General features: G+C 52.7%; 1 protein-coding gene across 3 annotated transcripts in view, besides 7 other annotated features; it reads right to left on the minus strand.

Annotated features, from left to right (window-relative positions):
- Window positions 1–26,118, minus strand: part of ARHGAP39 (Rho GTPase activating protein 39) — a 171,184-nt gene that overhangs the window by 140,741 nt on the left and 4,325 nt on the right. For 2 of the 3 annotated variants that reach the window (NM_001308208.2, NM_025251.3), the window contains exon 1: window positions 15,767–15,927. The exons of the other annotated variant lie outside the window; for it this stretch is intronic. The gene's annotated coding sequence lies outside the window, so the exon portion shown is untranslated. Of the gene's footprint in view, window positions 1–15,766; window positions 15,928–26,118 lie in introns of those variants that run through there. 3 annotated transcript variants of the gene reach the window in all.
- Window positions 3,947–4,446: an enhancer, noted in NCBI's record as "H3K4me1 hESC enhancer chr8:145899251-145899750 (GRCh37/hg19 assembly coordinates)". NCBI's record gives its function as "activates a minimal SCP1, AML or CMV promoter by ChIP-STARR-seq in primed H9 embryonic stem cells {active_cell/tissue: H9 hESC(primed)}" and the evidence as "EXISTENCE:reporter gene assay evidence [ECO:0000049][PMID:30033119]".
- Window positions 13,794–14,406: an enhancer, noted in NCBI's record as "H3K4me1 hESC enhancer chr8:145909098-145909710 (GRCh37/hg19 assembly coordinates)". NCBI's record gives its function as "activates a minimal SCP1, AML or CMV promoter by ChIP-STARR-seq in naive and primed H9 embryonic stem cells {active_cell/tissue: H9 hESC(naive and primed)}" and the evidence as "EXISTENCE:reporter gene assay evidence [ECO:0000049][PMID:30033119]".
- Window positions 14,407–15,019: an enhancer, noted in NCBI's record as "H3K27ac-H3K4me1 hESC enhancer chr8:145909711-145910323 (GRCh37/hg19 assembly coordinates)". NCBI's record gives its function as "activates a minimal SCP1, AML or CMV promoter by ChIP-STARR-seq in primed H9 embryonic stem cells {active_cell/tissue: H9 hESC(primed)}" and the evidence as "EXISTENCE:reporter gene assay evidence [ECO:0000049][PMID:30033119]".
- Window positions 15,633–16,244: an enhancer, noted in NCBI's record as "H3K27ac-H3K4me1 hESC enhancer chr8:145910937-145911548 (GRCh37/hg19 assembly coordinates)". NCBI's record gives its function as "activates a minimal SCP1, AML or CMV promoter by ChIP-STARR-seq in naive H9 embryonic stem cells {active_cell/tissue: H9 hESC(naive)}" and the evidence as "EXISTENCE:reporter gene assay evidence [ECO:0000049][PMID:30033119]".
- Window positions 17,431–18,303: an enhancer, noted in NCBI's record as "H3K27ac-H3K4me1 hESC enhancer chr8:145912735-145913607 (GRCh37/hg19 assembly coordinates)". NCBI's record gives its function as "activates a minimal SCP1, AML or CMV promoter by ChIP-STARR-seq in primed H9 embryonic stem cells {active_cell/tissue: H9 hESC(primed)}" and the evidence as "EXISTENCE:reporter gene assay evidence [ECO:0000049][PMID:30033119]".
- Window positions 21,725–22,019: an enhancer, noted in NCBI's record as "tiled region #12231; K562 Activating DNase matched - State 5:Enh". NCBI's record gives its function as "activates a minimal TATA promoter and a strong SV40 promoter by Sharpr-MPRA in K562 cells {active_cell/tissue: K562}" and the evidence as "EXISTENCE:reporter gene assay evidence [ECO:0000049][PMID:27701403]".
- Window positions 23,236–24,058: an enhancer, noted in NCBI's record as "H3K4me1 hESC enhancer chr8:145918540-145919362 (GRCh37/hg19 assembly coordinates)". NCBI's record gives its function as "activates a minimal SCP1, AML or CMV promoter by ChIP-STARR-seq in primed H9 embryonic stem cells {active_cell/tissue: H9 hESC(primed)}" and the evidence as "EXISTENCE:reporter gene assay evidence [ECO:0000049][PMID:30033119]".

The following is a 26,118-nucleotide window of genomic DNA, read 5'->3' on the forward strand; positions in this document are numbered from 1 at the left end:
ACGTAGGACGGGGCAGCTGCTTTGGAAAACAGTTTGGCATTTCCTCAAAAGTAAACATAGAATTACCATATGACCCAGCAACTACACAAATATTCATAATAGTCAAATATGGAAACAACTCAAAATGCCCAGCAATGGATGAAAGTCTAAAGGAAACGGGGTTGACCTGTACAACGGAACGTCCCTCAGCAATAAAAAGCAACAGAGCTCGGATGCATGCTAGAGCGTACCGGGAAGCAGGATCAGGGCCTGGGACCAGGCGGCTGTAAAAAGCAACAGAGCTCGGACGCATGCTAGAGCGTACCGGGAAGCTGGATGAGGGCCTGGGACCAGGCGGCTGTAAAAAGCAACAGAGCTCGGACGCGTGCTAGAGTGTACCGGGAAGCAGGATCAGCACCTGGGACCAGGAGGCTGTGCCCGGGTTCACCACACTGCTCCATCACCCTCCTCACCGGGCCATCGAGCCTCTGAATCCCACACCTCTGCCATCTCCCCTCAGCCTCAGCCCCACTGTCATTCACCTAAACCACAGGTGGCTCAACCATTTCTGTATTTCCTGTCAGTCTCCTTGATGTGCTCCGGACATAAAAGCCTGGGCAAGGCTTCAAGAAGACTATTTTGGGTGGGCTCTTGGTGCAGTCTGGCTGGCTGCCTCACTTGTCCTGCCTCCCGCCCTGCTCCAGGCTCCCTGGGCTCCTGCCATCCGGTCCTGCTAACCCCAGGGCTGCCACATGAGCTGATCCCCACCATCTTCTCCTGCAGGCCCCAGACTCAATCTCCCTCCTGGAGGCTTGCCCTGAGCTCCTCATCTAAATGAAGCATGCTAGATTTGCTGTCACAGCCTCATCCCCGTCCTTCAGACCACACACCGCAGCTGCCAACTGTGTGTATCTGTTTCCTGCACTAGACTCTGAGCTTCAAGAGACAAACGCTTTACCCCTGCACTGCCAGCCCCGAGCACCACTGACCGGCACTCAGTTATCCATGGAATGGATGACCAGAAAGGCACGACCACCTAATCCAGCTCTGATGACGCTGCCTGGTGCTGCTCCCTCCTCCCACACCAGAGACCCCCACCACACACATGTGCTCACACTCAGGACACACAGTGCTGCCAAGCCTCAGGGCCGCCAAGCTTCTCCCGAAACCCAACCAGGGCCCTTCACATACCAAGCACATGCTAATTAATTCCAGTTTGTAAATCCTAATGTCAGTTCTCTCTGTGGAATGAGGCCTATGTTGGGTGTCTCACCCATGCCAGGCTCTGCGGGTCACTGACAAGAGTCTCTGCCCTGCAGCATCTCCCAGCCAGGGGCACAGGGTCACCAACAGGCAGATTCTGCAAATGACTTACCATTTAAAATACATCAGAATGGGTCAAGGGTGGATAATAACTTCACGTAAGTTCTGATGTTTTCCGCAAAAGAAATGAACGAATAAAGCTGGAGTTAGAAAGAAGCTATTGCCAACCCTTTCACTCTTCCTAACTGCATGCTGACTCGGAAGGTGGGGCTCAAGCTGAGAAGTGCTCCCCTTCAGGAGACAGTGTCACTCTACACGCTGCAAACACCACCCTCCCACCTGCTCCCTGACCCCCAGATGCCTGCTCACCTGGGCTCTCGCCAACACTCCAGTCACAGAGCTGCCGGCTCCGGCCACACATCCCTCCCGCCTGAGGCTCTTTCTGTGCCTGGTGAATAGCCCAAGGCTCAGCTGCTGATACTCCTCCTTTCCAGACAAGACACCCCTTCTCCAGAAAGCCTACCTGAACTCCACGCCCCTCCCGGCCAGCCACCCTAGGGTTCTCCCTACGACCCCAGGCACACGGCCACCTCTGCTGTCCACAGGATGTTAGCACAACTCACTCCCGTGTCCCCCACCAGAGGCCTGGTCTGTCTCCTCCCTGTCGGGGGTATCTGACTGGCAAGTGGCTGGCACATACAGGCAACAGTAAAGACAGGGGCGAGATGAGTGTGGGTGGGCCTGGCAAACACAAGACCAGGTGTGAGAGCCCTGCCAGAGCAATGGAGACAGGCTCCGCCCAAGTGAGGCTCATCCTGGGCCCCAGTGGCCTTGGGCAGAAAGCCCCACACTGTTCCTGGACGCCGTCTGTGATTCCGGCACATGCTGTAAACGAGGGTCTCAGGGACGTCACAGCACTACCCCCTCCCACATGTGGGAATTTCCACAGCACGCCTGAATTCTGAATAGAAAATAAAAGGTCAACACAGCCGCAATTAAATAGAAACAGCACCTAGAGTTTCAGAAGCTGCTCCCCTTTATCAGCCACACATGCAGCAGGCAGTCAGATTCCGGGGAAACTTACACTGCAGAGGCTTCAGCACAGCTCTGAGTGGCAGGAGGAACATGCTGGCCACCTCTGTGATCCCAGGGAATGCTTGAAGGGACCGTAACAGAAAACCACTAGGAGTATCTCAAGGCTAACAGTAAACTCAACCCATGAAGGAAGCATCAGCCACTCTGTCAGGATAGTGTTGGGGCCTCTAGTAGTTTAAAGTAATAATCAAGAGAAAAGGCAGGAAAGATGAAAGGAGCATGGCAAGAAAGGAAAATAGACTCAAACACTGTTGGCCAGACAAGGGGTTCTGGACCCTGTGTCCAGCACCCTGGCTGCCAGGAGCTGGGGAGACAGCAGTGCTCCCACGCCTCACATCTGTCTACACCACCATCAACTGTGCTCTGTGTGCGCCTAGACCAGCCTGCAAGAGGCTGGTTCATCAGCCTCTTAGTGTTGATATTAATTTTTAAAACTCCTATTATACACAAATAACAGTAATTTACAGAACCCACTGAGACTCAGCCATTCTTCAGCTTCACAACAACCTTGAACAAATAAGCAGGACAAGCATCTTATCTGCAGATAAGAGCTCGAGTGCTTAACTGACTTATCTGTGCTCAATCACACAGGCAGCGATTAAGTCAATGTTTAACTCAAGTCTTCTGCACGGAGACCAGTGTAGCATCGCTACCACCTGAAATTTGACGCTGATCAGGGGCCAGGCACAGTGGTTCATGCCTGTAATCCCAGCACTTTGGGAGGCAGAAGCGGGAGGATCACTTGAGCCCAAGAGTTCAAAACCAGTCTGGGTAACAGGGTGAAATCCTGCCTCTACAAAAATTACAAAAATTAGCTGGGCATGGTGACATGCACCTATTGTTCCAGCTACTTGGGAGGCTGAGGCAGGAGGATCGCTTGAGCCCAGGAGGTCAAAGATACAGTGAGCAGATATCATGCCACTGCCCCCTAGCCTGGGTGATAGATTGAGAACCTGTCTCAAAAAAAAAAAGAGGAAGAAAGAAAAGAAACTGATCAGGGACTCATCGCCTTGCCACAGCCCCCAAGAACACACCCGCACCAAGGCCCTCTGCGGGCATGCAGCCTTCTGACTCTCACCTTGGAATGTTCTCTTCTGAAAAATCCTAGTCACTCCTGTTTTTAACAGCTTCATTGAGATAGAATTCACATTACATACAATTCACCCAATTAAAGTATATGATTTTAGGTTATTTTTAGTATATTCACAGATATGTGCAACCTTCACCACAGTCAATTTTAGAATATTTTCATTATGCTAAAAGAAATTCCATACCTCTTGGCTGTCATCCCCTAGCCCTTGGCAACCACTAATCTACTTTCTATCTCTACAGATTCACTTCTTCTGGACACTTCACATAAACGGAATTGTCATGAGATCCTTGGGGTGTCGCTTCACCAGCCAGAAACCGCTGTGGCCAGTGGTGCCTTCTGCCTGAGTATTGCTCATGCCCACTGGGATTGTTCCGCCCACTCAGGCCGGCAGACTGCTCTCAGCTCACACTACCGGCCCAGATCCCACACCTGCCAAGTGCAAGCCAGGTGCAAAGTGGCAAGGGGTGTGTGGGCAAGCAAGCGCAGGGTCAGGCCACCGTGCATAGCCAGGCATGCCAGCTGCAGCGGGGCAGGCTGCTCCAGGTGCCAGCTCTGTGCGAGGCTGCGGCTTGACCAGATGTACTGCATGTGGCTTCCACTGTGGGCACCTGCATCTGGATGAGGGGAATGCAGTGGCATCCAGAAGCTTGGAGATGCCAGGAACCACAGAACCCCAAAGAGGGTGTCACAGCCCTGGCTCGAGGAGACCCTAGGTCTGGGCTCCCCAAAGTGCTGCAGCTCTTCTCTCCTTTTCATTACCTGCAACGTGGTGAGTGGTGGGGGGCGGTGGTCGGGGGGAGTGTGTGTTTCAGCCCTGTTTGTGTTGCAGCTCATTTAGTCCCGCCATTCAGCAGGTCCCAAGTTCCTGTCACATGTCCAGGTAGAATGAGGTACGTGAACAACTGGAGAGTGAGCGAGGTGGAGAGGAGCTTCACTGTGCGACAGAACAGCTCTTGGGAGACCCACAGTGGGTAGCTCCTTTCCGCATACGGGTTGTCTTGACGACTGTTCAGGTCTCAGCAGAGAGGAGACTCGGACTGGTTAGCTCCTATCCTATCTGCAGGCAGGCTGTCCTGTTGTTTGCCTGAGTCTGGCTGAGTCCAGGGTTTTTATGGGCTTCAGAGGGGAGAAAGTATGTGCTGAATGGTTCACGGGTGGCCATGGGCAGGCCCAGAAAAAGCACCATAAACTCTTACTCTGGTCCATGGAACTGGCAGCCCAGCCCCCAGGCTTCAGGCTGTCCCTGACTTGAACATGGGGCTTCATCAGGGACCTGCCCCTTTTCACCCAGGAGCCTGTCTGCCTCCTGCTACCATCAACCTGCCGTCCATGGTGCCCAGGCTATTTGTGCTGAGGGGCTCCTGCAGGCCTGCACCAAGCTGCCCTCAGCCCCTCCTCGGGCTCCCTCCTGTGCTCGCTCGTCGGCACCCAAAGTCCGAAGGCGGCCGAGAAGGCAGGGGGCTGGCATGTCAGTTTTGCCCCAAGTGCATGTACACCTGGCCAGGTTGCAACAGTGCCTGGGCTCAGCCTCAACTTTGTTCCAAAATTGACGTGGGGACCAGGAGCAGGGAGAGGCCAGGTAGCGGGAGGAGGCTGGCCTGCTTCTGAGTCTGCAGGGGAAGGGGGGCTTCCTGAGTCCCCGAGAGAGCAGGGATGTCTGGGTCCATAGCCACAGCTAGGCAGCTGCAGCTGTGCCCAGGAGGGCCAGGCTCCCACCCCTCCAACTTGGAAGGGGGTGCAGCTCCTGCCTGTTCCCAGTTCCCACCAGCTCCATGGACCATGCAGCCCCAAGCCTCCCCAGCTGCAACCAGCGTCATGGCAGCAGCCACTCCAGACAAGCCACCAATGCCATTAGAATCATACAGTATGTCTCCAGCTTCTTTCACTTAGCATTTTTTTTTTGAGACAGAGTCTTACTCTGTCACCAGGCTACAGAGCAGTGGCATGATCTCGGCTAACTGCAACCTCTGCCTCCCGGTACGCCACTGTGTCCAGAATTGGTGGGTTCTTGGTCTTGCTGACTTCAAGAACGAAGCCGCGGACCCTCGCGGTGAGTGTTACAGCTCTTAAAGATGGTGTGTCCGGAGTTTGTTCCTTCTGGTGGGCTCGTGGTCTTGCTGACTTCAGGAGTGAAACTGCAGACCTTCGTGGTTAGTGTTACAGCTCTTAAAGATGGTGCGTCTGGAGTTGTTCATTCCTTCCGGTGGGTTTGTGGTCTCGCTGGCCTCAGGAGTGAAGCTGCAGACCTTTGTGGTTAGTGTTACAGCTCTTAAAGGCAGTGCATCTGGAGTTGTTCGTTCCTGCCGGTGGGTTCGTGGTCTTCCTGGCTTCAGGAGTGAAACTGCAGACCTTCGTGGTTAGTGTTACAGCTCTTAAAGACGGTGCGTCTGGAGTTGTTCATTCCTTCCGGTGGGTTCGTGGTCTCGCTGGCCTCAGGAGTGAAGCTGCAGACCTTCGTGGTTAGTATTACAGTTCTTAAAGGCAGTGCATCTGGAGTTGTTCGTTCCCTCCGGTGGGTTCGTGGTCTTCCTGGCTTCAGGAGTGAAGCTGCAGACCTTCGCGGTGAGTGTTACGGTTCATGAAGATAGCATGTCCAGAGTTGTTCCTTCCTCCCGTCAGGAGTTGTTCTTCCCTCCCAGTGGGTTCATGGTCTCGCTGGCTTCAGGAGTGAAGCTGCAGACCTTCTCGGTGAGTGTCACAGCTCATAAAGGCGGCGCGGACCCAAAGAGTGAGCACCAGCAAGATTTAGTGCGAAGAGCAAAAGAACAAAGCTTCCACAGCATGGAAGGGGACCCCAGCGTGTTGCCGCTGCTGGCTTGGGTGGCCTGCTTTTATTCCCTTATCTGGCTCCACCCACCTCCCACCGATTGGTCCATTTTACACAGAGCTGATTGGTCCGTTTTGACAGGGTGCTGATTAGTATGTTTACAAACCTTCAGCTAAACACAGAGTGCTGATTGGTGCATTTACAATACTTTAGCTAGACACAAAAGTTCTCCAAGTCCCCACTAGATTAGCTAGACACAGAGCACTGATTGGTGCGTTTACAAACCTTGAGCTAGACACGGGTGCTGCTGACTGGTGCGTTTACAAACCTTGAGCTAGACACACGTGCTGCTGACTGGTGCGTTTACAAACCTTGAGCTAGACACACAGTGCTGATTGGTGCGTTTACAAACCTTTAGCTAGACACAGACTGCTGATTGGTGTGTTTACAAACCTTTAGCTAGACAGAAAAGTTCTCCAAGTCCCCACCCGACCCAGAAGCCCAGCCGGCTTCACCTCTCAATGGTGGGACTTCACGGCACCTAGCCCGGGCACTCCGGCAGCCCAGAGGAAGCTCGTCCCAGATCAAGCCCAGCAGGCGCCAGCCACAGCACCGGCTCCCGCCCACGCCTCTCCCTCCACACCTCTCTGCGAGCAGAGGGAGCCGGCTCTGGCCTCGGCCAGCCCCAGAGAGAGGCCCCCACAGCGCAGCAGCTGGCTGAAGGGCTCCTCCAGCGTGGCCAGAGCGGACGCCGAGGAGGCGCCGAGAGCAAGCGAGGGCTGCCAGCACGTTGTCACCTCTCACCTCCACGCCCAGCTAATTTTTGTACTTTTAGTATAGACAGGGTTTCACCATGTTGGTCAGGATGGTCTTGATCTCTTGACCTCATGATCCGCCCGCCTGGGCCTCCCAAAGTGCTGGGATTAGAGGCCTGAGCCACCGTGCCTGGCCTGCATATTTTTAAGGTTCACACACGTTATAACATGAATCAGTAACTCACTTCCTTTTATTGCCAAATAATATTCCATTGCAGGAATGGACCACATTGTGTTTATCCGTTCATCCGCTGATGGACATTTAGGTTGTCTCCACTTTCTGGCTGTTGTGAACACTCATGGACAAGCTTCTGCGTGGACGTGTATATTTCCAGTCACTCAACCAAAAGAACACACAAAAGGTGAACCAGTTTCCAACTGAGACATTCATTTAATTTGACCTACTATATTATTTAAAATATAGAGAGATGAGATAATTAGGAGAAATAAATGACCAAAGGAAGTGCAGAAATAAAGACACTAAGAGACAAGAGCAAACCCTGATGTGACGGAATAAACGGTGATTGAAGAAAGAGATGCTATTTCTAGGATGGGTCCTACAGGTACATTTGCAAAACACTGTGCCTATAGCCTTGCTGGTAACAGCATGAAAATTCCACAGCACCTCCATACAGCCAAATACAGTGCGGCCATGGAAAGAATGTACCGGAAAATGTACTGATATGGAAAGATCTCTCAAACATAGTTGAAAAAGGCAAGGTTCAGAAACTTTTTAAAAAGAAAAGGGTAAGGAAAAAAACAGAATACATACACTTGTTTGCTTGCAAAGTTACAAAGTATCTCTAGAAGGATACACAAGAAGCTGGTCCAGCAAAGCTTCCAGGGGAACCAGGTTCCAGGGTAGAGACTAGGAGGCTTCACTGAGCTCCCTTTGTACTTTTGAACCACGTATATTATCTGCTCAAAAATGTTAAACAAAATTGAAACTTTCTAGGAAGCAAAAATAGAGAATCTGTGAGAATCAAGACATTTACACTTAGGAAAGCAAGTTACAAGAGAGGCCCAGGAAGATGGAAGCAGCCGACGTGGGAAATGTGTCAACGAGTCCCTCCCCCTGCTGCGCCAGCCATTCTCTGAGGGCAACTCCCCATCCTAAACCCAATCATCTTTACTGAAGCCAGTGCTCAAAGAAAATGTTGCAATCTGCAGCAAGACATTCAGAACACAAACAGCCAAGTGCCATGGCTCATGTCTACAATCCTGGCACTTTCGGAGGCCGAGGTGGGAGGATCACTTGAGCCCAGGAGATGGAGGCTGCACTGAGCTGTGATCATACCACTGCACTCCAGCCTGGACAACCCACCCTGACTCTCTCTCTAAAAAAAAAAAAAGAAAATACAAATGTATCTGCTGCCCTCAAGGACTTCCCAGTCTAGAGGGGAGAAAATATTATGTGATTGTGCAGTGACCAAAAGCACCACCTAGAGCACTACGAGAGGGGGTGGAGCACCTGAGGACAAGGCAGCGATCCAGGAGGCGCTCCCACAGACATTACCTGAGTCTGAGTCAAAGGGCTGAAGGAACCAGTGAGCTTGGCTTAGTTTTGGAAGGAGGGACGCCAAGAAAGACTTGGCCCATGACCACATGGCAGTTTTTCTGGAGAGCAGAGTAGGTTGGGGTCACGCAGCGCTGTGGAGCATGGTCCAGGAGGCACTGGGGAGCCAGGGAGGAGAGCCAGGCAGCAGAGTCACTCGCCTAGACGCTCTGAGCCTGGCGCCATCCTGTGCACTGTAGGATTTCAACAGCATCCCCAGCCTCCACAAATCCTTGGCCATCCCCTCCTAGTTGGGACAACCAAAAATGTCTCCAAATATTGCCAAATGTGGCAGGAGGGCGGGGAGTGGTGTCAGAATCACCCCTGGGGAGATCACTGCCCTGTTTATATCATCTGAGCAGCTATGTGGCAGAGACAGGGGAGTGGCTCAAGGCTGGGGCAGGAGAGCCCCAGGAGGTACAGCGTAGTGCAGGAGGGACATGGTGCAGGTCCCACTCAGGCAGGGGTTCTGATCACTGTTCAGGGGGAACTGGCAAGAGGACCTGGAGCCGTACCACATGGCAGCTGAGAGGGGGACCCAGCACGCCAAAATTCTAGGTGGTGACCAAGCAGGTGAAGGTCCCAAAGCCCCAAAGGGTTGAGGCCAGAAGTGAATGTGGGTGCTGAGTCTGAGCCGCCTCAGGGGCTCTCGCGCATGGTGGCCGGCTCCAGCGTCCAGCATCTGCGGCTGAGGGGAGACATCCAGCTGCACCTTCAGTCATGGTGAGATGGCCCAGACAGCAGGTACGGGCTCCTCAGCTCTGCTCAGCACAGCGTCCGAGCAGGGGCTCACCTTCCCCATAGGAGGCTGTACGTCACACCCTGCTTTGGTCCGTGGACCCTGAGATGCCAGTCCAGGATGGTGCCGGAAAAGACACTAGGTTTCTGCCACTCTCTTGCCATAAAAACAGCATGTGCCACATAAGGCCTGGTCCTGGATCTGGAAATGAAGACTCTTGGAAAAGAGTCACAAGCAAACGAAACGCGGGCAGGAATCAGCCTCTGCTGCTGTGAGCGCTGCAGTGCTGGGGTTGCTACTGCAACTCGCTCTGGAGAAAGCTGTCCAGTAAACTCCTGGATTTGGATTTCTTCCTTCACCAACCCATCCTACAGAACATTGCCAATTAAATCTCCCTAAACCATTAATCAGGACATCCCCTGCTCACAAAGCTGCCTGCGGTGGCTCCCGGTTAGCTAGAAAATTAAAATCTAGGCCGGGCGCAGTGTCTCACGCCTGTAATCCCAGCACTTTGGGAGGCCAAGGCGGGCGGATCACGAGGTCAGGAGATCGAGACCATCCTGGCTAACACAGTGAAACCCCGTGTCTACTAAAAACACAAAAAATTAGCCGGGCATGGTGGTAGGCACCTGTAGTCCCAGTTACTTGGGAGGCTGAGGCAGGAGAATGGCGTGAACCCAGGATGCGGAGCTTGCAGTGAGTCGAGATCGCGCCGCCGCACTCCAGCCTGGACGACAGAGCAAGACTCCATCTCAAAAACAAAAAGAAAATTAAAATCTAAAGCCTTTAACTGGAATTCAAAGACCTTCTCATTATGACCCTTATCTCCCATTATTCCTTACACAACCTTTAAACCGCTAGAAACCACACATAACCAACCTTCTCACCTTTGCTCCCAAAATGTGAAAATACTTCTGTCTGCAGTGCTATGTCCCTACTCTTCCCTCTTCATATCCCACTGAGTACGGTTCAGCTAGAAGACCACCTCGTCTTGAAGCCTCCCTTCACTGCTGCAGCCCCCTGCAATTATCTCCCCTTTAAACTTCTAAAGCAAACTTTTCTGTAAATGGCCCAGATAACAAAGGGTTTAGGCTTTGCGGGCCGCACAGCCTCTGCACAAGGAGTCAGTTCAGCCAGAGCGGCCATGGACAATACAGAAAACACAGAAATAAGCAGGCGCAGCTGTTGAATAAAACCTCATTTACAAAAACACGCAGAGGAGTCTGCCAGGGGGCTGCAGTGTACTGACCCCTGGTCTGGAGTACGGGTTAGGCCTTTAATCACAGAAGGACTCATATCCGTAGCAGATTTTTTCTTTTTAAGTTCCCCGAAAGCATGTCTGTGGCACTACAATGTACGTACAACTGAGCATAAATTAGATGTTCGATTTTAAAACTACAAAACAATACTTGGAAAACACTTGCATACAAAATTGAAAAAAAAATTATTAATGCTAAATATTATGGTTTTCCCACAGAAATCCAAAAACTCAAAAGAAAAGGAGGGGAAAGCCACACTAAATGTTGCACCAAGAAAAATTCCACCCAATGGATCATAATAGCGGCCACTAATCTCTTTTCACAATACACGAACTATGTCAAAGACTGGTACGAGTTTCATAACAAGATTATCAATGGAGGGGGGTGCTATTTCATGTTAACAAAACTCAGATATATGATAATAAAATTACTTTGTCACCATCACATTTCAGGGGGTTAGCAGGATGGCAGGCACCAGTGACCAACACGAGTTTTAGGGAAGACTACCCCTGCAAAATCCTGGTCTCAGGTGTCTTGATACCAAACACAGCAGAAGTGGCAGAGGAGTTGGCGTGCAGACCAGCTGAGGAGGAGGATCACAGCAGGTGGAAACAGTGTGGCCAGGGTATGGAAGTCAGGGTCAGACTCAACCTCAGGGCACAGCAAAGACTTGTCAGATAAACTTGGGAACAAGTCTAAGTGGCAGATGAAAGACACAACGAGGCAAGCACAGTGGCAGCAGAGACAGCCAGTGTCAGAGGGTAAGGATTTCACTTGTTGAAGCAAGAAAGGTAACGAGAAGGGACAGGAGACAGGCCAGGCAGGGTAGTCCAGCTCTGCGAGGGAGTCTGTCCAGCTCTGCGAGGGAGTCTGCTCCACAGGCTGAACACCAGAGTCTACTCTTTTGAGCCATGCCTTGTGGTGTCTTTACAGGACACCTGCAAAGCTAACTGTGAGACGGATCGCATAAGGTCTATGACGCAGGACCTTGAGTCAACGAAGAGGCACAGCAGAGGGGCTTTGCTAGTAGAAGTAGGTGTTTCAATATAAGAGCGTATTTCATGGACTTTTTTTCAACAGCACCAAAGAAGCCAGTACAAGCCTACCAGGAGGCTGCATTCTCTGAACTACTATTGATAAATTGTTCAAGGACATGCCAACTCTCCATGTAGCATGTAGCTTCCACAGCCCATCCCAGCAGAGAGGTAGGAGACAAAACTGGGATGGGCATTTAAAAATCTATCTTAGGCTATTTGTGTTACCACTATCTAAACATTAAATATTCTCACTTTAAAGGTCACAAATCTCAAAACACTCTACTAAAGGTGGAAGGGTTTTCCCTAATCTTTGTGTCACACAATATGAAGGTGATGAGATGCGATTTTCTAAGGTAAAGCTAAGATACAGAGGGAAGAGGTGACCAGACTTGAGGAGGACCATCTCCTTGAGAAATATGGGGAATCTTTCCACTATGTTCTGAAACAAGTTAAATCTTACTTCTCGGCCGGGTGCGGTGGCACACGCCTGTAATCCAAGCACTTTGGGAGGCCGAGGCGGGCAGATCACGAGGTCAGGAGATCGAGACCATCCTGGCTAACACGGTGAAACCCCGTCTCTACTAAAAATACAAAAAAATTAGCCGGGCGTGGTGGCGGGAGGCTGAGGCAGGAGAATGGCGTGAACTTGGGAGGCGGAGCTTACAGCAAGCCGAGATCTCGCCACTGCACTGCAGCCTGGGTGACAGAGCAAGACTCTATCTCAAAAAAAAAAAAAAAAAAAAAAAGGCCGGGCGCGGTGGCTCACTCCTGTAATCCCAGCACTTTGGGAGGCTGAGGCGGGTGGATCACGAGGTCAGGAGATCGAGACCATCTTGGCTAACATGGTGAAACCCTGTTTCTACTAAAAATACAAAAAATTAGCCAGGCGTGGTGGCAGGTGCCTGTAGTCCCAGCTACTCGGGAGGCTGAGGCAGGAGAATGGTGTGAACCCAGGAGGCGGAGCTTGCAGTGAGCCGAGATCACGCCACTGCACTCCAGCCTGGGCAACAGAGCAAGACTCTGTCTCAAAAAAAAAAAAAAAAAAAAAATTCTTACTTCTCACAACAGCTTAGCAGGCAGAATGTTACACTGCTGGTGATTCCACCTTCTCACTTTCTGTTATGTCCTCCCTGTCACTTAACGTTTATTTTAATAAATCACCGTTTCTGTTGCAAGGATAATACTGAGAAGTATAACAACAATGGCAGGCTGGGCACAGTGACTCATGCCTGTAATCCCAATACTTTGGGAAGCCAAGGCAAGTGGATCACTTGAGCTCAGGAGTTTGAGACCAATCTGGGTGACATGGCAAAACACATCTCTACAAACAAAACCGAACAAAAAAATTAGCCAGGTGTGGTGACACACACCTGTAGTCCCAGCTACTTGGGAGGCTAAGGTGGGAGGATGCCTTGAGCACAGGAGGTCAAGGCTGCAGTGAGCCATGATCGCACCACTGCACTCCAGCCTGGCCAGCAGAGTGAGACCCTGTCTCAAAAACAAGCAAAAACTGGCTGGGCGCGGTGGCTCACACCTGTAATCCCAGCACTTTGGGAGGCCGAGGCGGGCGGATCATGAGGTCAGGAGATCGAGACTATCCTGGCTAACACAGTAAAACCCCGTCTCTACTAAAAATACAAAAAATTAGCCAGGCGTGGTGACAGGAGCCTGTAGTCCCAGCTACTCGGGAGGCTGAGGCAGGAGAATGGCATGAACCCAGGAGGCAGAGCTTGCAGTGAGCCAAGATAGTGCCACTGCACTCTAGCCTGGGCGACAGAGCGAGACTCTGTCTCAAAAATTAAAAATAAAAATAAAATAAAATAAAATATTCTTTTTTTTTTTTTGAGACAGAGTCTCGCTCTGTCACCCAGGCTGGAGTGCAGTGGCACAATCTTGGCTCACTGCAAGCTCCGCCTCCTGGGTTCAAGCGATTCTCTGTCTCAGCCTCCCCAGTAGCTAGGACTACAGGCGTGAGCCACCACACCCAGCTAATTTTTGTATTTTTAGTAGAGACGGGGTTTCACCATGTTGGTTAGGCTGATCTTGAACTCCTGACCTCAAGCGATCTGCTCGCCCCAGCTTCCCAAAGTGCTGGCATTACAGGTGTGAGCCACCGCACCTGGCCATTTTTCTCTAAGAACGTCTTAAAACAATCTTATATAATAATTCATCTAAGTATGTGAGGCTTGTCTCTCTTTTACCTTTATAAACATGTGTTCATCCAAATATGACCTCAGCTTTCTTGTGTGAGAAACCAGCGCCACAGACTTCCAGCTTAATGTAAACTTCCAGTTTACATTACATTGGCAGTGCTGGAGAAACTGAAGACCCACTGACCCAGCACATGCACCCCGGAAGCACCAGATCTTGGCAGTAATAACCATTCCTAACTTTCTAAAACACAGTGTGCCACGAACAAAGTGTTTCACAAGTCTTAATTTACTGAGTCCTCACAACAACCCTATGAGGCCAATATTATTAGTGTTCCCATTTTACAGATGAGAAGCCAAAGGCACAGAGACCTTGCCGAAGACCACAAAGCCAGTAAACAGAAGAGTCGCGACTCAGAGGCGGGCAGCCTGGCTCCAGAACCCGCCCTCCTGTCCACTCTGCTCCCCTGCCTCTCAGGAAGACAGCTGGCTACACCAAGTGCAGGGAGCGAGGCGCCACCCCCATTCATTCACTCCAAGCATTTATGGCTACAGAGCCTGCGCCCAGGGCGGTTTATGGAATGAGTCTCCTCGATTTACAGCCACACCTCCTATCAAATCGCCTTTCCCTCCCCCGGCGCGAGAATCGCACCTTGCTCCTTGTGGATCGGGCGCCGCCGACGGAACCACCTGCTGTCTATAGAGGGCACCTAGGACGCAGCGTCCAATTCCCCTCACTGGCTTCAAAAGACAAATCTCCGTATTGTTGTACCAGGAGGCACGAGAAGCCTCACCACTGTAGGTTTTTCAGCAGAGGTCACTGGAGGTCTGGTTAAACCCGTACAGCACTGAGGGGGAGGGGGCCCGGCTGCGTTTCCGAAGCTGCGCAGCGCCCACAGCAGCTGCTGGTGGGAAGCGGCTCGGAACACACCCACAGCTGCCAAGGAGCCGGCTGCACGTTTTAAAATAAAAAACGTCCTGGGCCCCAAAATGCACAGCCCGCCTCTCTCGCCGCCCTGGGCACGGAACGCCGCCTCCACCCACAGCACTCCAGCAACTGGGAAGCAACCGGGAAGCAACCGAGGGAATTCCAGCTCGGGGGGCAACCGGGAGGGGAAGGCTCCGAGCGCCGGAGCCCCAGCCCGCGCCTGCCGCAGAGGCGAGGCCGCAGAGCCCACCCGCAGGCGGCCATGACCCCACCTGGAGACGCCCATGTCCGCTCCCTGCGCCCCGGGGACAAAGCCCGAGGCTGCACCGCAGCGCACCGCAGCCCTGCACCCGGGCCGCCCTTCAGGACGCGGGCACCAGACCCGACCGGCGGGCATCCACCTTGTCCCCACTCCGACGGCGCCCGGGAATGCGGCCGGTGCCCCGAGCTCAGGCTGGGCACACGTGCACCCACACCCACCACGGGCGGGGTCCCCTCACACCCCCCTCGGGCAGGGGCACACTCACACCCATCTAGGGCCGGGCACACTCACACCTCCCTCGGGCAGGAGCACACTCACACCCCCCTGGGGCCGGACACACCCACACTCCCCTCGGGCCGGGCACACTCATACCCACCGTGGACAGGGGCACACTCACACTCACTCTGGACAGGGGCACACCCACACCCACATTGGGGCCGGGCACACTCACACCCACCTAGGGCAGGGACACAACTCACTCTGGACAGGGTACAGTCACACCCACTTCGGGCCGGGCACACGCGAACTCACCCACCCTCACACTCCCAGCCCGGCCCGTCGGCGCGCACCCGGGCCCCGCGCGGCCTCGGCCCCTCGAGCCTCCGCGCCCCCCGCCCGGCCGGGCCCCGCACACCCACGCCCCCTCCCTCCACGGCCCAGTCACAGCCCCTCCCGCCGCTGCAGTCGCCGCGGGCCTGGATTCCTTGCGCTGCCGGGCCTGGAGCCTCCGCCGAGGCTGGGCCAGGACCACGGGGACCGCAGCGCCGGCCCCTCCGCCATCTTCTTGGCCCGCGCCGCCCACCGCCCGTTGCCCGCGCTCTCACCGGCCGGCTGCGCGCGGGCCGCGCCGCCACAGTCCCTCATCCCGGCCCGCGCGACGCGCGTGAGCCAGCCGCCGCTCCCCGGCCTCTCTGCTGCTCCGCCGCTGCTGCCGCGGCAGCCCGTGCTGTCGGCGTCCTCCGCCGCCGCCGCCGGCCCAGTGCGCGGCGGCCGCGCGTCCTCCCGTCACCAAGCGCAACCCCCCGCCTCCGGCTCCGCCCCCGCGGCGGTCACTACCCGCCGCCAGGGGGCACTGCCTCGCGAGGCCGCATCACGCATGCGCTGGCGCGCGGCATGCCGGGAGCCGGAGTCCCGCGGAGGGCGCGCGCGGCATGCTGGGAGCCGCCTGGCCCCGCCCCGTCGCCGCGCCAGAGGCCTCCCGCGCGGACCTACCCTGTGAGTTAGCGGTGTCTTCCCGTCTCTTTCGGTGCAGAGCAGTTACCATCTGACACGTCTCGGTGTGGTTTGGTGTAATTTTGCCCTCTCAAACCACGTTGGGCTTCCCGAGTCTGAGATTTCACTTTTCTTCGACTCTAGAAATACAGCCATTCTTCTCAAAACGTGGGCTGCCCTGTTCCTCAGTCCTTCTTGTGGCGGGCTCGTGTCTCTTCACCTCCTGTTATTCTCACCTTTTTAGTCCTGTCACTTTTACTCGGTAATTCACTCAGCTGCAGCTCGACTAGTGCTCTATTCGGCGTTTTCTAATCTGCGTTCAGCCTGGTTTTCTAGATTCTCTTAGTGCCAGGTGCGTTTCTGGAAATTGAATCTGACTGGCATTTCTGGAGAAACGGAGGCTAAACAGCCTGAAGCTTCGATAGTAGAAGACAGGGGCGCACACCCTTCAGTCCTGGACATTCCCTGGGTCCTCAACTGTGAGAAGCCGCAAAGGGCTGAAAGGCCCCCGTCAAAAGTCATCCGTGGAGCTCCACCTCCTGCCCTGCAGCTCAGTCGCCTTGCAGGGACTCTCCCGCCTCAGGAGATCTCCCGTCGGGCTGTCTCGCCGCCCGCGCTTCCCTGTTGGGCCGTCGTCACACTTCACTCTTCACTCTTATACACAGGGCTCTGCTTTTTCGCCTCCCGCTCCCTCTCCACTGTATTCACTTAGAAAACCCAACTGGGCGAGCCCAACCCTTCTCCTCCATGACTGCTGAAGAAAATCACACATCCAGGCTGACTGCCTTCACCTTAAACTTGTGACAACACACTGGCGGCGAGCACTTCCCACCCCCGTGACCACACACTGGCGGCGACCATTTCCCACCCCTGTGACCACGCACTGGCGGCGAGCACTTCCCACCCCCGTGACCACACACTGGCGGCGACCATTTCCCACCCCCGTGACCACGCACTGGCGGCGAGCACTTCCCACCCCCGTGACCACGCACTGGCGGCGAGCACTTCCCACCCCGTGACCACACACTGGCGGCGACCATTTCCCACCCCCGTGACCACGCACTGGCGGCGAGCATTTCCCACCCCCGTGACCACACACTGGCGGCGAGCACTTCCCACCCCCGTGACCACACACTGGCGGCGACCATTTCCCACCCCCGTGACCACACACTGGCGGTGAGCACTTCCCACCCCGTGACCACGCACTGGCGGCGAGCACTTCCCACCCCGTGACCACGCACTGGCGGCGAGCACTTCCCACCCCTGTGACCACGCACTGGCGGCGAGCATTTCCCACCCCTGTGACCACGCACTGGCGGCGAGCACTTCCCACCCCGTGACCACACACTGGCGGTGAGCATTTCCCACCCCGTGACCACACACTGGCGGTGAGCACTTCCCACCCCTGTGACCACACACTGGCGGTGAGCACTTCCCACCCCGTGACCACACACTGGCGGTGAGCACTTCCCACCCCGTGACCACACACTGGCGGTGAGCAGTTCCCACCCCGTGACCACACACTGGCGGTGAGCACTTCCCACCCCGTGACCACACACTGGCGGTGAGCACTTCCCACCCCCGTGACCACACACTAGCAGTGAGCACTTCCCACCCCGTGACCACACACTAGCGGTGAGCACTTCCCACCCCGTGACCACACATTTACAGTGAGCACTTCCCACCCCTGTGACCACACACTGGCGGTGAGCACTTCCCACCCCGTGACCACACACTGGCGGTGAGCACTTCCCACCCCCGTGACCACACACTAGCAGTGAGCACTTCCCACCCCGTGACCACACATTTACAGTGAACACTTCCCACCCCGTGACCACACACTGGCGGTGAGCACTTCCCACCCCGTGACCACACATTTACAGTGAGCACTTCCCAACCCCGTGACCACATACTAGCGGTGAGCACTTCCCACCCCCATGACCACACATTTACAGTGAGCATTTCCCACCCTGGTGACCACACACTTAACTAATTAAAAATATACAAAATATTTATAGAGGACATTTAACTCTTTTTTTTTTTTTTTTGAGATGGAGTCTTGCTGTGTCACCTAGGCTGGAGTACAGTGGCGCCATCTTGGCTCATTGCAACCTCTGCCTTCTGGGTTCAAGCAATTCTCCTGCCTCAACCTCTTGAGTAGTTGGGATTACAGGTGCCCACCACAACTCCTGGCTAATTTTTTGTATTTTTAGTAGAAATAGGGTTTCACCGTGTTGGCCAGGCTCCTCTCAAACTCCTGACCTCAAGTGATTCACCCACCTCAGCCTCCCAAAGTGTTGGGATTACAGGCGTGAGCCACCACACCTGGCCAAGGACACTTAACTCTTTAAGGACTTAAAAAGAAAATCTAAAGTCCCCACTAATGGAGGGGGACCTGTGTGGTGGCTCACAGCTGTAATCCCATCGTTTTTCCAGGCTAAGGTGGAGGAACGCTTGAGATCAGGAATTCGAGACCAGCCTGGGCTGCATAAGGCAACCCCGTGTCTACAAAAAGAAATTTTAAATTAGCCAGGCGTAGTCAAGAGGCTGAGGTGTGAGGATCACTTGAGCCTGGGAAGGTCGAGGCTGTGGTGAGCTGTGATCACACCACTGCCCTCCAGCCTGGGCAACAGAGCGAGACCCTGTCTCAGAAAGTAAAACAATAATAAATAAATGGAGGAACATAGCACGCTCGTGGACCAGGTGGTATAACATAGTAAAGATGTCGAGTCTTCCTAAAGTTATATAGAAATCCAAAATGTTAATAATCTTAATTCCAGCAAGATTTTTTGAGGACTGTAACAACATATTTTAAAAATTGCACAAAATAATATAGATCTAAAAATAGCACGTCCAATTGTGAAGGAGGACATGAAGGGGGACGGACCCTGCCAGAGATTAAGGTCTGCTCCTGAGCCGGGGTGTTTCACAGGCCCAGAAACACGCAAGGGAATGGAGCAAAGAGTTTAATCACATCCACACATCAAAACCAACGAGAAAAGGTCTATTGTTTAATAGAGCCTCTGTTTGTGAGCTACAGGGAGAAAAACAAAGTTGGATCCCTGGGCCACCCCGGGGTATTTACACATCCGTGTTCCTCTCCTAGGGAGGTGCCCAGGGCTCGCCTGGCGCATCACAGGGTGCCTGCAAGTTTGACTTTTTTTTTTTTACAAATATTTAACTAGAAGTAAGTTTGACTTTTTAAGAAGCCATCACACCACTCCCAGCAGCTCTCGCGAGTTACAGCTTCTCTGCGTTCTCACTAACACCTGCTGTGGCCAGTCTTCTGGTTTTCTTTTTGTTTTTTGTTTGTATTTAAAATACATAACATAAAATTTACCATCTTAACCATCTTTTTTTTTTTTTTTTTTTTTTTTTTTTGAAAAGGAGTCTCACTCTGCCGCCCAGGCTGGAGTGAAGTGGCGTGATCTTGGCTCACTGCAACTTCTGCCTCCCAGGTTCAAGCGATTCTCCTGCCTCAGCCTCCCGAGTAGCTGGGAGTACAGATGCCCACCACCACACCCGGCTAATTTTTGTATTTTTAGTAACATGGGGTTTCACCATGTTGGTTGGCCAGGCTGATCTTGAGCCCCTGACTTCAAATGATCTGCCCACCTCGGCCTCCCAAAGTGCTGGGATTACAGTTGTGAGCCACCACACCTGACTAATTTTTTTTTTTTTTTTTTTGTGACAGAGTTTTTTGCTCTTGTCACCCAGGCTAGAGTGCAATGGCGTGATCTCAGCTCACCGCAACTTCCGCCTCCTGGGTTCAAGCAATTCTCCTGCCTCAGCCTCCCGAGTAGCTGGGATTACAGGCATGTGCCACCATGCCCAGCTAATTTTTTGTATTTTTAGTAGGGATGGCGTGTCACCACGTTGGCCAGTCTGGTCTCAAACGCCCGACCTCAGGTGATCTGCCTGCCTCAGCCTCCCAAAGTGCTGGGATTACAGGCGTGAGCCACCGCACCAGGCCTATTTTTAATTTTTTGAGAAACCACCGAACTCTTTTTCACAGCAATTGTACCATTTTGTTATTTATTTATTTTTAAGATGGAGTTTCACTCTTGTTGCCCAGGCTAGAGTGCAATGGCATGATCTCAGCTCACTGCAGCCTCTGCCTCCCCAGTAGCTAAGATTCAAGCGATTCTCCTGCCTCAGCCTCCCCAGAAGCTGAGATTACAGGTGCCTGCCACCATGCCCAGATAATTTTTGTATTTTTAGTAGAGGCGGGTTTTCACCATGTTGGCCAAGCTGGTCTTGAACTCCTGACCTCCCACCCACGTTGGCCTCCCAAAGTGTTGGGATTACAGGCGTGAGCCACTGCAAAATTGTACCATTTTACATTCCCACCGACAGTGCATAAGGGCTCCAATTTCTCCATATCTTCTCCAACACTTGTTAATTTCTGTTTTTTTTTTACAGTAGTCATCCTAATGGATGTGAGGCGATATCTAATTGTGATTTTGATTTCCATTACCCTAATGATTAGCGATGTTGAACAACTTTTCATGTACTTATTTGCTCTACTTATATTTTCTTTTATAATGTGTCTGTTCACATCTTTTGCCTGCCTTTTTTTTTTTTCCCTTGAGACAGGGTCTTGCTCTGTTGCCCAGGCTGGAGTGCAATGGTATAATCTCAGCTCACTACAGCCTGGACCTCCTTGGCTCTGGTGATCCTCCTGCCTCAGCCTCCCAAGTAGCTGGAACTACAGGCACACACCACCACACCCAGCTGATTTTTTTTTTTTTTTTTTTGTAGTTTTGTAGAGACGGGGTTTCGTCATGTTGCCTAAGCTGGTCTTGAACTCCTGGGCTCAAGTGATATGCCTGCCTCAGCCTCCCAAAGTGCTGGGATTACAGGCATGAGCCACCTTGCCCAGCCCTTTTGTCCATTTAAAAAAATTGAGTTTCTGGGCTGGGCGCTTTGGGGCTCCTCAAAGCAGACTGAGCCACTCTGCTGGGATGGCACTGGAGACACAGCACCTGCCACTCGGCTTCTTTCTTGGCAGCTCTTCTCCCCGAGTCTCACCTCCTTGCTCCCCAGGTGACCATCCAGTGTGCAGACCTTGGCTCAGGACACTTCCTCAACTAGTGACTGTGTCTGGGGAAACAGGATTGATTTGCAGGCACAGCTGGCTCAGGAAGCCCCACAGACAGCTGCTTGGAGCCCTTTCCTCAAGTGGATCCAGGAGAGAGCTGGCTTTGAGGGCCTGGTGGATCATCCATGATGTCTGCCCTGTGTCTGCTGGAACCCAGCAGGATGTCCTGCTTGGACATCTGCACCTAAAATGCCAATGTCTTTGGTCTGGAATCATCTGATTGCAAGTGTGAGAAACAAACTCACCCGTCCAAACCCAAAGAATGGACTTAGAGACCAAGAGAACAGCGAAAGTGAGACTTTTAATGATGGCCTTGCAAGGTCGGGTGTCTAGTAGGCAGGCACACCCAGCACAGTCACAACAAGCAATTTATCCCCTAGTGTGCAGGTCCCTCCCCCAGTTCCTCATAGGCTGAGTACTAGGGGGTCACAGTCTTCCCAGATGTCACCTATTGATTGTTATGCAGAGGCTGTAGGTGTTTTTTTTAGGGTTGTCTTGCTACATTTTGTTGCAGCCCACAATGCATTGCAATCCTAGTCAGCTCGGGGGCTCTTTAAGAATTTGATTTATGACCTAAGTAGCTGGGAAGGCTGATAAGAACAGACAAAGCAAGCTATTCTGCAGGCTAGTAAACTTTCATCTCAGACTAAACTTCTTTGGATCGGGTGAGGGCCATTAAGCGGCGGGGTGGCGGGGAGGGGACAAGAAGCCGGCATTGACTACGCAAGCAGGGGCCTAGTTTATCCTGTTTCTTCTGTAGTTTGCTGTCCTAAACCGATTCAAGGCACTTTGTCTTGGAAATGGACCACCGTATACATTATTTCCTTCACAAGTAGAAGCTACACAGGCTCCTAAAACTGAAGAGGACTCACTGGAAGCCATGGGAGCTTCTTACAAGCAGATGGCATGAGGCTGACAAAGGGCCTGGAAAGGGCTGGCACTGTTCTCTCCCCACAGCCTTTGGCTTCCCTGCTGTCTCTCCCCACCACTTCCCTCTTTCTCTCTCTGTCTCTTTCCCCCTCCCTCTCTCTGTCTCCTTCCCTCCCTCCCTGCCCTCATCTGGCTATTCTGCTTTCCATGCAGGGGCTCCCCAATGCCCCGCCCCAGCTCTGTGGGGTCTCTTGGCACCAACCCTGGCACTAAATGGGATGTGTGTTACTAGCCTAAGGAGGAGTGGGGGTGGGATCTGTCTCTGCTGGAGACAGACATCAGCCCCTCAGCTGTGCACCCACAATCATCTGGTCCAGTCAGCATGGCCTGGGGCAGCCGCAGGAAAGCACATGGACCAAAGCAGGTCTCACAGTGAAGCGATTACTTGCTTAACTATAAATCCTCCTCAAAGACATTCCCAGTTGCTGCTCCTAGACATGACATCAGCGACCACTGAAAAAGGTGCTCAATGGGGGCTGTGGACCGGCTTGCTCTTCATACAGGGACTGTGTGGCTCAGGGTTGGGCCTGCAATCCGCCGCACCACTAATGCTCCACTTGGCCCCCATAAGCCATGGATGGCTTGGACTAGCTAAACCATCATAAAAACACTAGGAAGAGAAGAAAATGTGTATTGTAAAATTCTTTTTTTTTTTTTTTTTTTTTTTTTGGTGAGACGGAGATTTACTCTTGTCCCCCAGGCTGCAGTGCAATGGTGTGATCTCGGCTCACCACATCCTCTGCCTCCCAGGTTCAAGCGATTCTCCTACTTCAGCCTCCCGAGTAGCTGGGATTACAGGCATGTGCCAGCATGCCTGGCTAATTTTGTATTTTTGGTAGAGATGGGGTTTCACTGTGTTTCCCAGGCTGATCTCAAACTCCTGACCTCAGGTGATCCGCCTGCCTCAGCCTCCCAAAGTGCTGGGATTACAGGCGTGAGCCACTGCGCCCGGCCTTTTTTTTTTTTTTTTTTTTTATTGAGACAGAGCCTTGCTCTGTCACCCAGGCTGGAGAGCAATGGCACTGTCTCGGCTCACTGCAACCTCCGCCTCCCGGGTTCAAGCGATTCTCCTGCCTCAGCCTCCCAAGTAGCTGGGATTACAGGCATGTGCCACCATGCCCAGCTGATTTTTGTATTTTTAATAGAGGTGAGGTTTCGCCATGTTGGCCAGGCTGGTCTCGAACTCCTGACCTTGTGATCCTCCCACCTCGGCCTCCCAAAGTGCTGGGATTACAGGCGTGAGCCACCGCGCCCGGCAGTAAAATTCTTTTTTGTTTGTTTGTTTTTGAGACGGAGTCTTGCTCTGTCGCCCAGGCTGGAGTGCAGTGGCGCGATCTCGGCTCACTGCAAGCTCCGCCTCCCGGGTTCATGCCATTCTCCTGCCTCAGCCTCCCTAGTAGCTGGGACTACAGGCGCCCGCTGCCACCCCTGGCTAATTTTTTATATTGTTAGTAGAGACGGGGTTTCACCGTGTTAGCCAGGATCGTCTGGATCTCCTGACCTCGTGATCCACCCGCCTCGGCCTCCCAGAGTGCTGGGATTACAGGCGTGAGCCACCGCGCCCAGCCGCCTGGCCGTAAAATTCTTTGAGAGATTTGTTTCCCAATGAAAGCAGGTTTTGTTCTGGTGTTAGTTATTAAACAAATACTGATCACACACTGGTTTAGGCATCAGGGGTACAGCACTAAATGGAAAAGGAATGTCCCTGCCCTCCAGGAGTTTACATTTAGAAAGTTTGTGGGAAAGACAAATAACTAAGCCTGTCACACAGTGCTGCCATATGGAGCCAAGTGCAGTGGGGACAAGTCAGGCAAAGGGGGGAGGGAGACGGGGAGGCTGCAGAGAGGAGGTCTTTGTAGACAACAGAAGAGAGGGAAGGGCTGAGCCAAGCAAATAGCGAGGGCAAAGGAGAAAGGCAGTACAAAGGCCCTGAGGCAGGAATGTGACCGGAGGCCTACCAAGAGGAGAAAGAGCAGACTCCACGTTCAGAGAGAAGGAAGGGGATGGCGAGGGTCTGGGGACCTGAGTGAGTGGATGGGTGGGGTGATGGGACTTGTGTTTTAAAGGAAATATTCTGGTTGTTGTGAGGAATAGGCTGCATGGGGCAGGGGCCAGGTGGTGGCAGGCTTGGGGGAGCAGCAAGAGCTGGAGCCAAAAGGAGGCCAGCCTTGGTGGTGCAGCAGTGTAGGTGGCGGGGAGTGGGGTCTGCAGGGTCACCAAGAGGTTGGGTAATGAACGTTCACTGTTTCCATTTTCCCTGCTGCATGTGCATCCCTGGGCCCTAGCCTATGCACTGGCTCCCGTTTCTGTGGATGTCCCAGAGTGGAACGGCTCAGCCCAAGGACAGGTGCATTTGTGAATTTCAGAAATGCTCCTAGATTTCTTTATAAAGTGCCTGTGAAAATGTACCTTGCCACCAGCTGTGTGTGTTAACGCCGTTCCCCCACTACATGAGTCAGCTTTCGCTGAGTTGTGCGGTAGTAACAACTCCCAGATCTCTGGCTTTTAACATTGGAGTTTCAGGCCTTTGTGTTATGCACCTGCTCTTTAACGATCTTCATGCTGGTGTCAGCGCCATAGAGTATCTGTCCTGGACAAGCTGTTTTCATGGCAGTGCGGCAAAAGCCATGCTGGAATCTTATGATAACATTTCAGGCTGCTGAAAGGTGGCAGCTGTTTCACTGATCAAAGCAACATCATCAGTACAGGGGGGCCTTCTCCTTCCATAAGGAGGGACACTGCAAGTCTCATGGGTGGGCAGGGATGTCGTAGGCAGGAGTTATTGCAACAGAGTACAATCGATCAGCACCAAGTGCTATTGCTTTTTACATTTTTGCCAATGTCATGAGTGAGAAGTGATTGTTCACACATGAGTTTTAAGTTGCCCATTGATTAGTGAGGTTGAGCATCTTTTTCATGTTTATTGGCCATTTGGATTGTACCATCTATCAATCTATCATCCATTCTTTTATTTATTTATTTATTTTTGAGCTGGAGTCTCCCTCTGTGGCCCAGGCTGAAGTGCAGTTGCGCTATCTCAGCTTACTGCAAGCTCCGCCTCCCGAGTTCACGCCATTCTCCTGCCTCAGCCTCCCGAGTAGCTGGGACTACAGGTGCGTGCCAACACGCCCGGCTAATTTTTTGCATTTTAAGTAGAGACGGGGTTTCACCGTGTTAGCCAGGTTGGTTGCGAACTCCTGATCTCATGATCTGCCCGCCTCGGCCTCCCAAAGTGCTGGGATTACAGGTGTGAACCACTGCGCCTGGCCATTCTAAGCACTTTCTATACACCATTAATTCATTTGATCCTCACCACGACCCTGTTTCATTGACAAGGACACCGAGGCCCAGGGACTGTCTCTTCTAGGTGACTTCTGAAAATGTGACAGGAGAGCCAGACACTGCATGTACTGTTGTACTTGAGCGAGTTAGAGAAAACGCCACACTTTGAGACGAATTAAGAGTCTGTTTATTTAGCCAGCGGCCAAGAGACGGCTAGCGCTCAAAGTTCTCTCGGCCTTGAAGAAGGGGCTAGATTTTCCTTTATACTTTGGTTTAGAAAGGGGAGGGGGGTCTAGTTAAAACAATTTTACAGAAATAAAGTAGGCAAAAAAGTTAAAAGGATAAATGGTTACAGGAAAGTAAACAGTTCTAGGTGCAGGGGCTTAAAGACGATTACAAGGTGATAGACGCGGGTCGTTGGGCGTTATCAATGGGACAAATTCTTGGGAACTGCGGATATTGCTCGCCACAGTATCTTATCAATTAATTGCATTCTTGGATGTGCTGGGAGTCAGCTTGCACAAGTTAAATCCTTGAGGAAGGGGCTGCCAGTGAAAGAGCCGAGATGGAGTCTGTCTGGCTCTTAGCTAAGGGAGAGTCAATTCAGGTGGAACCAAGGCTAGGTGATTAAAGGAAAGAGGGAGAGTCTAA

This window comes from Homo sapiens, chromosome 8 (genome assembly GCF_000001405.40).
Source record: "Homo sapiens chromosome 8, GRCh38.p14 Primary Assembly".
NCBI lineage: Eukaryota > Metazoa > Chordata > Mammalia > Primates > Hominidae > Homo > Homo sapiens.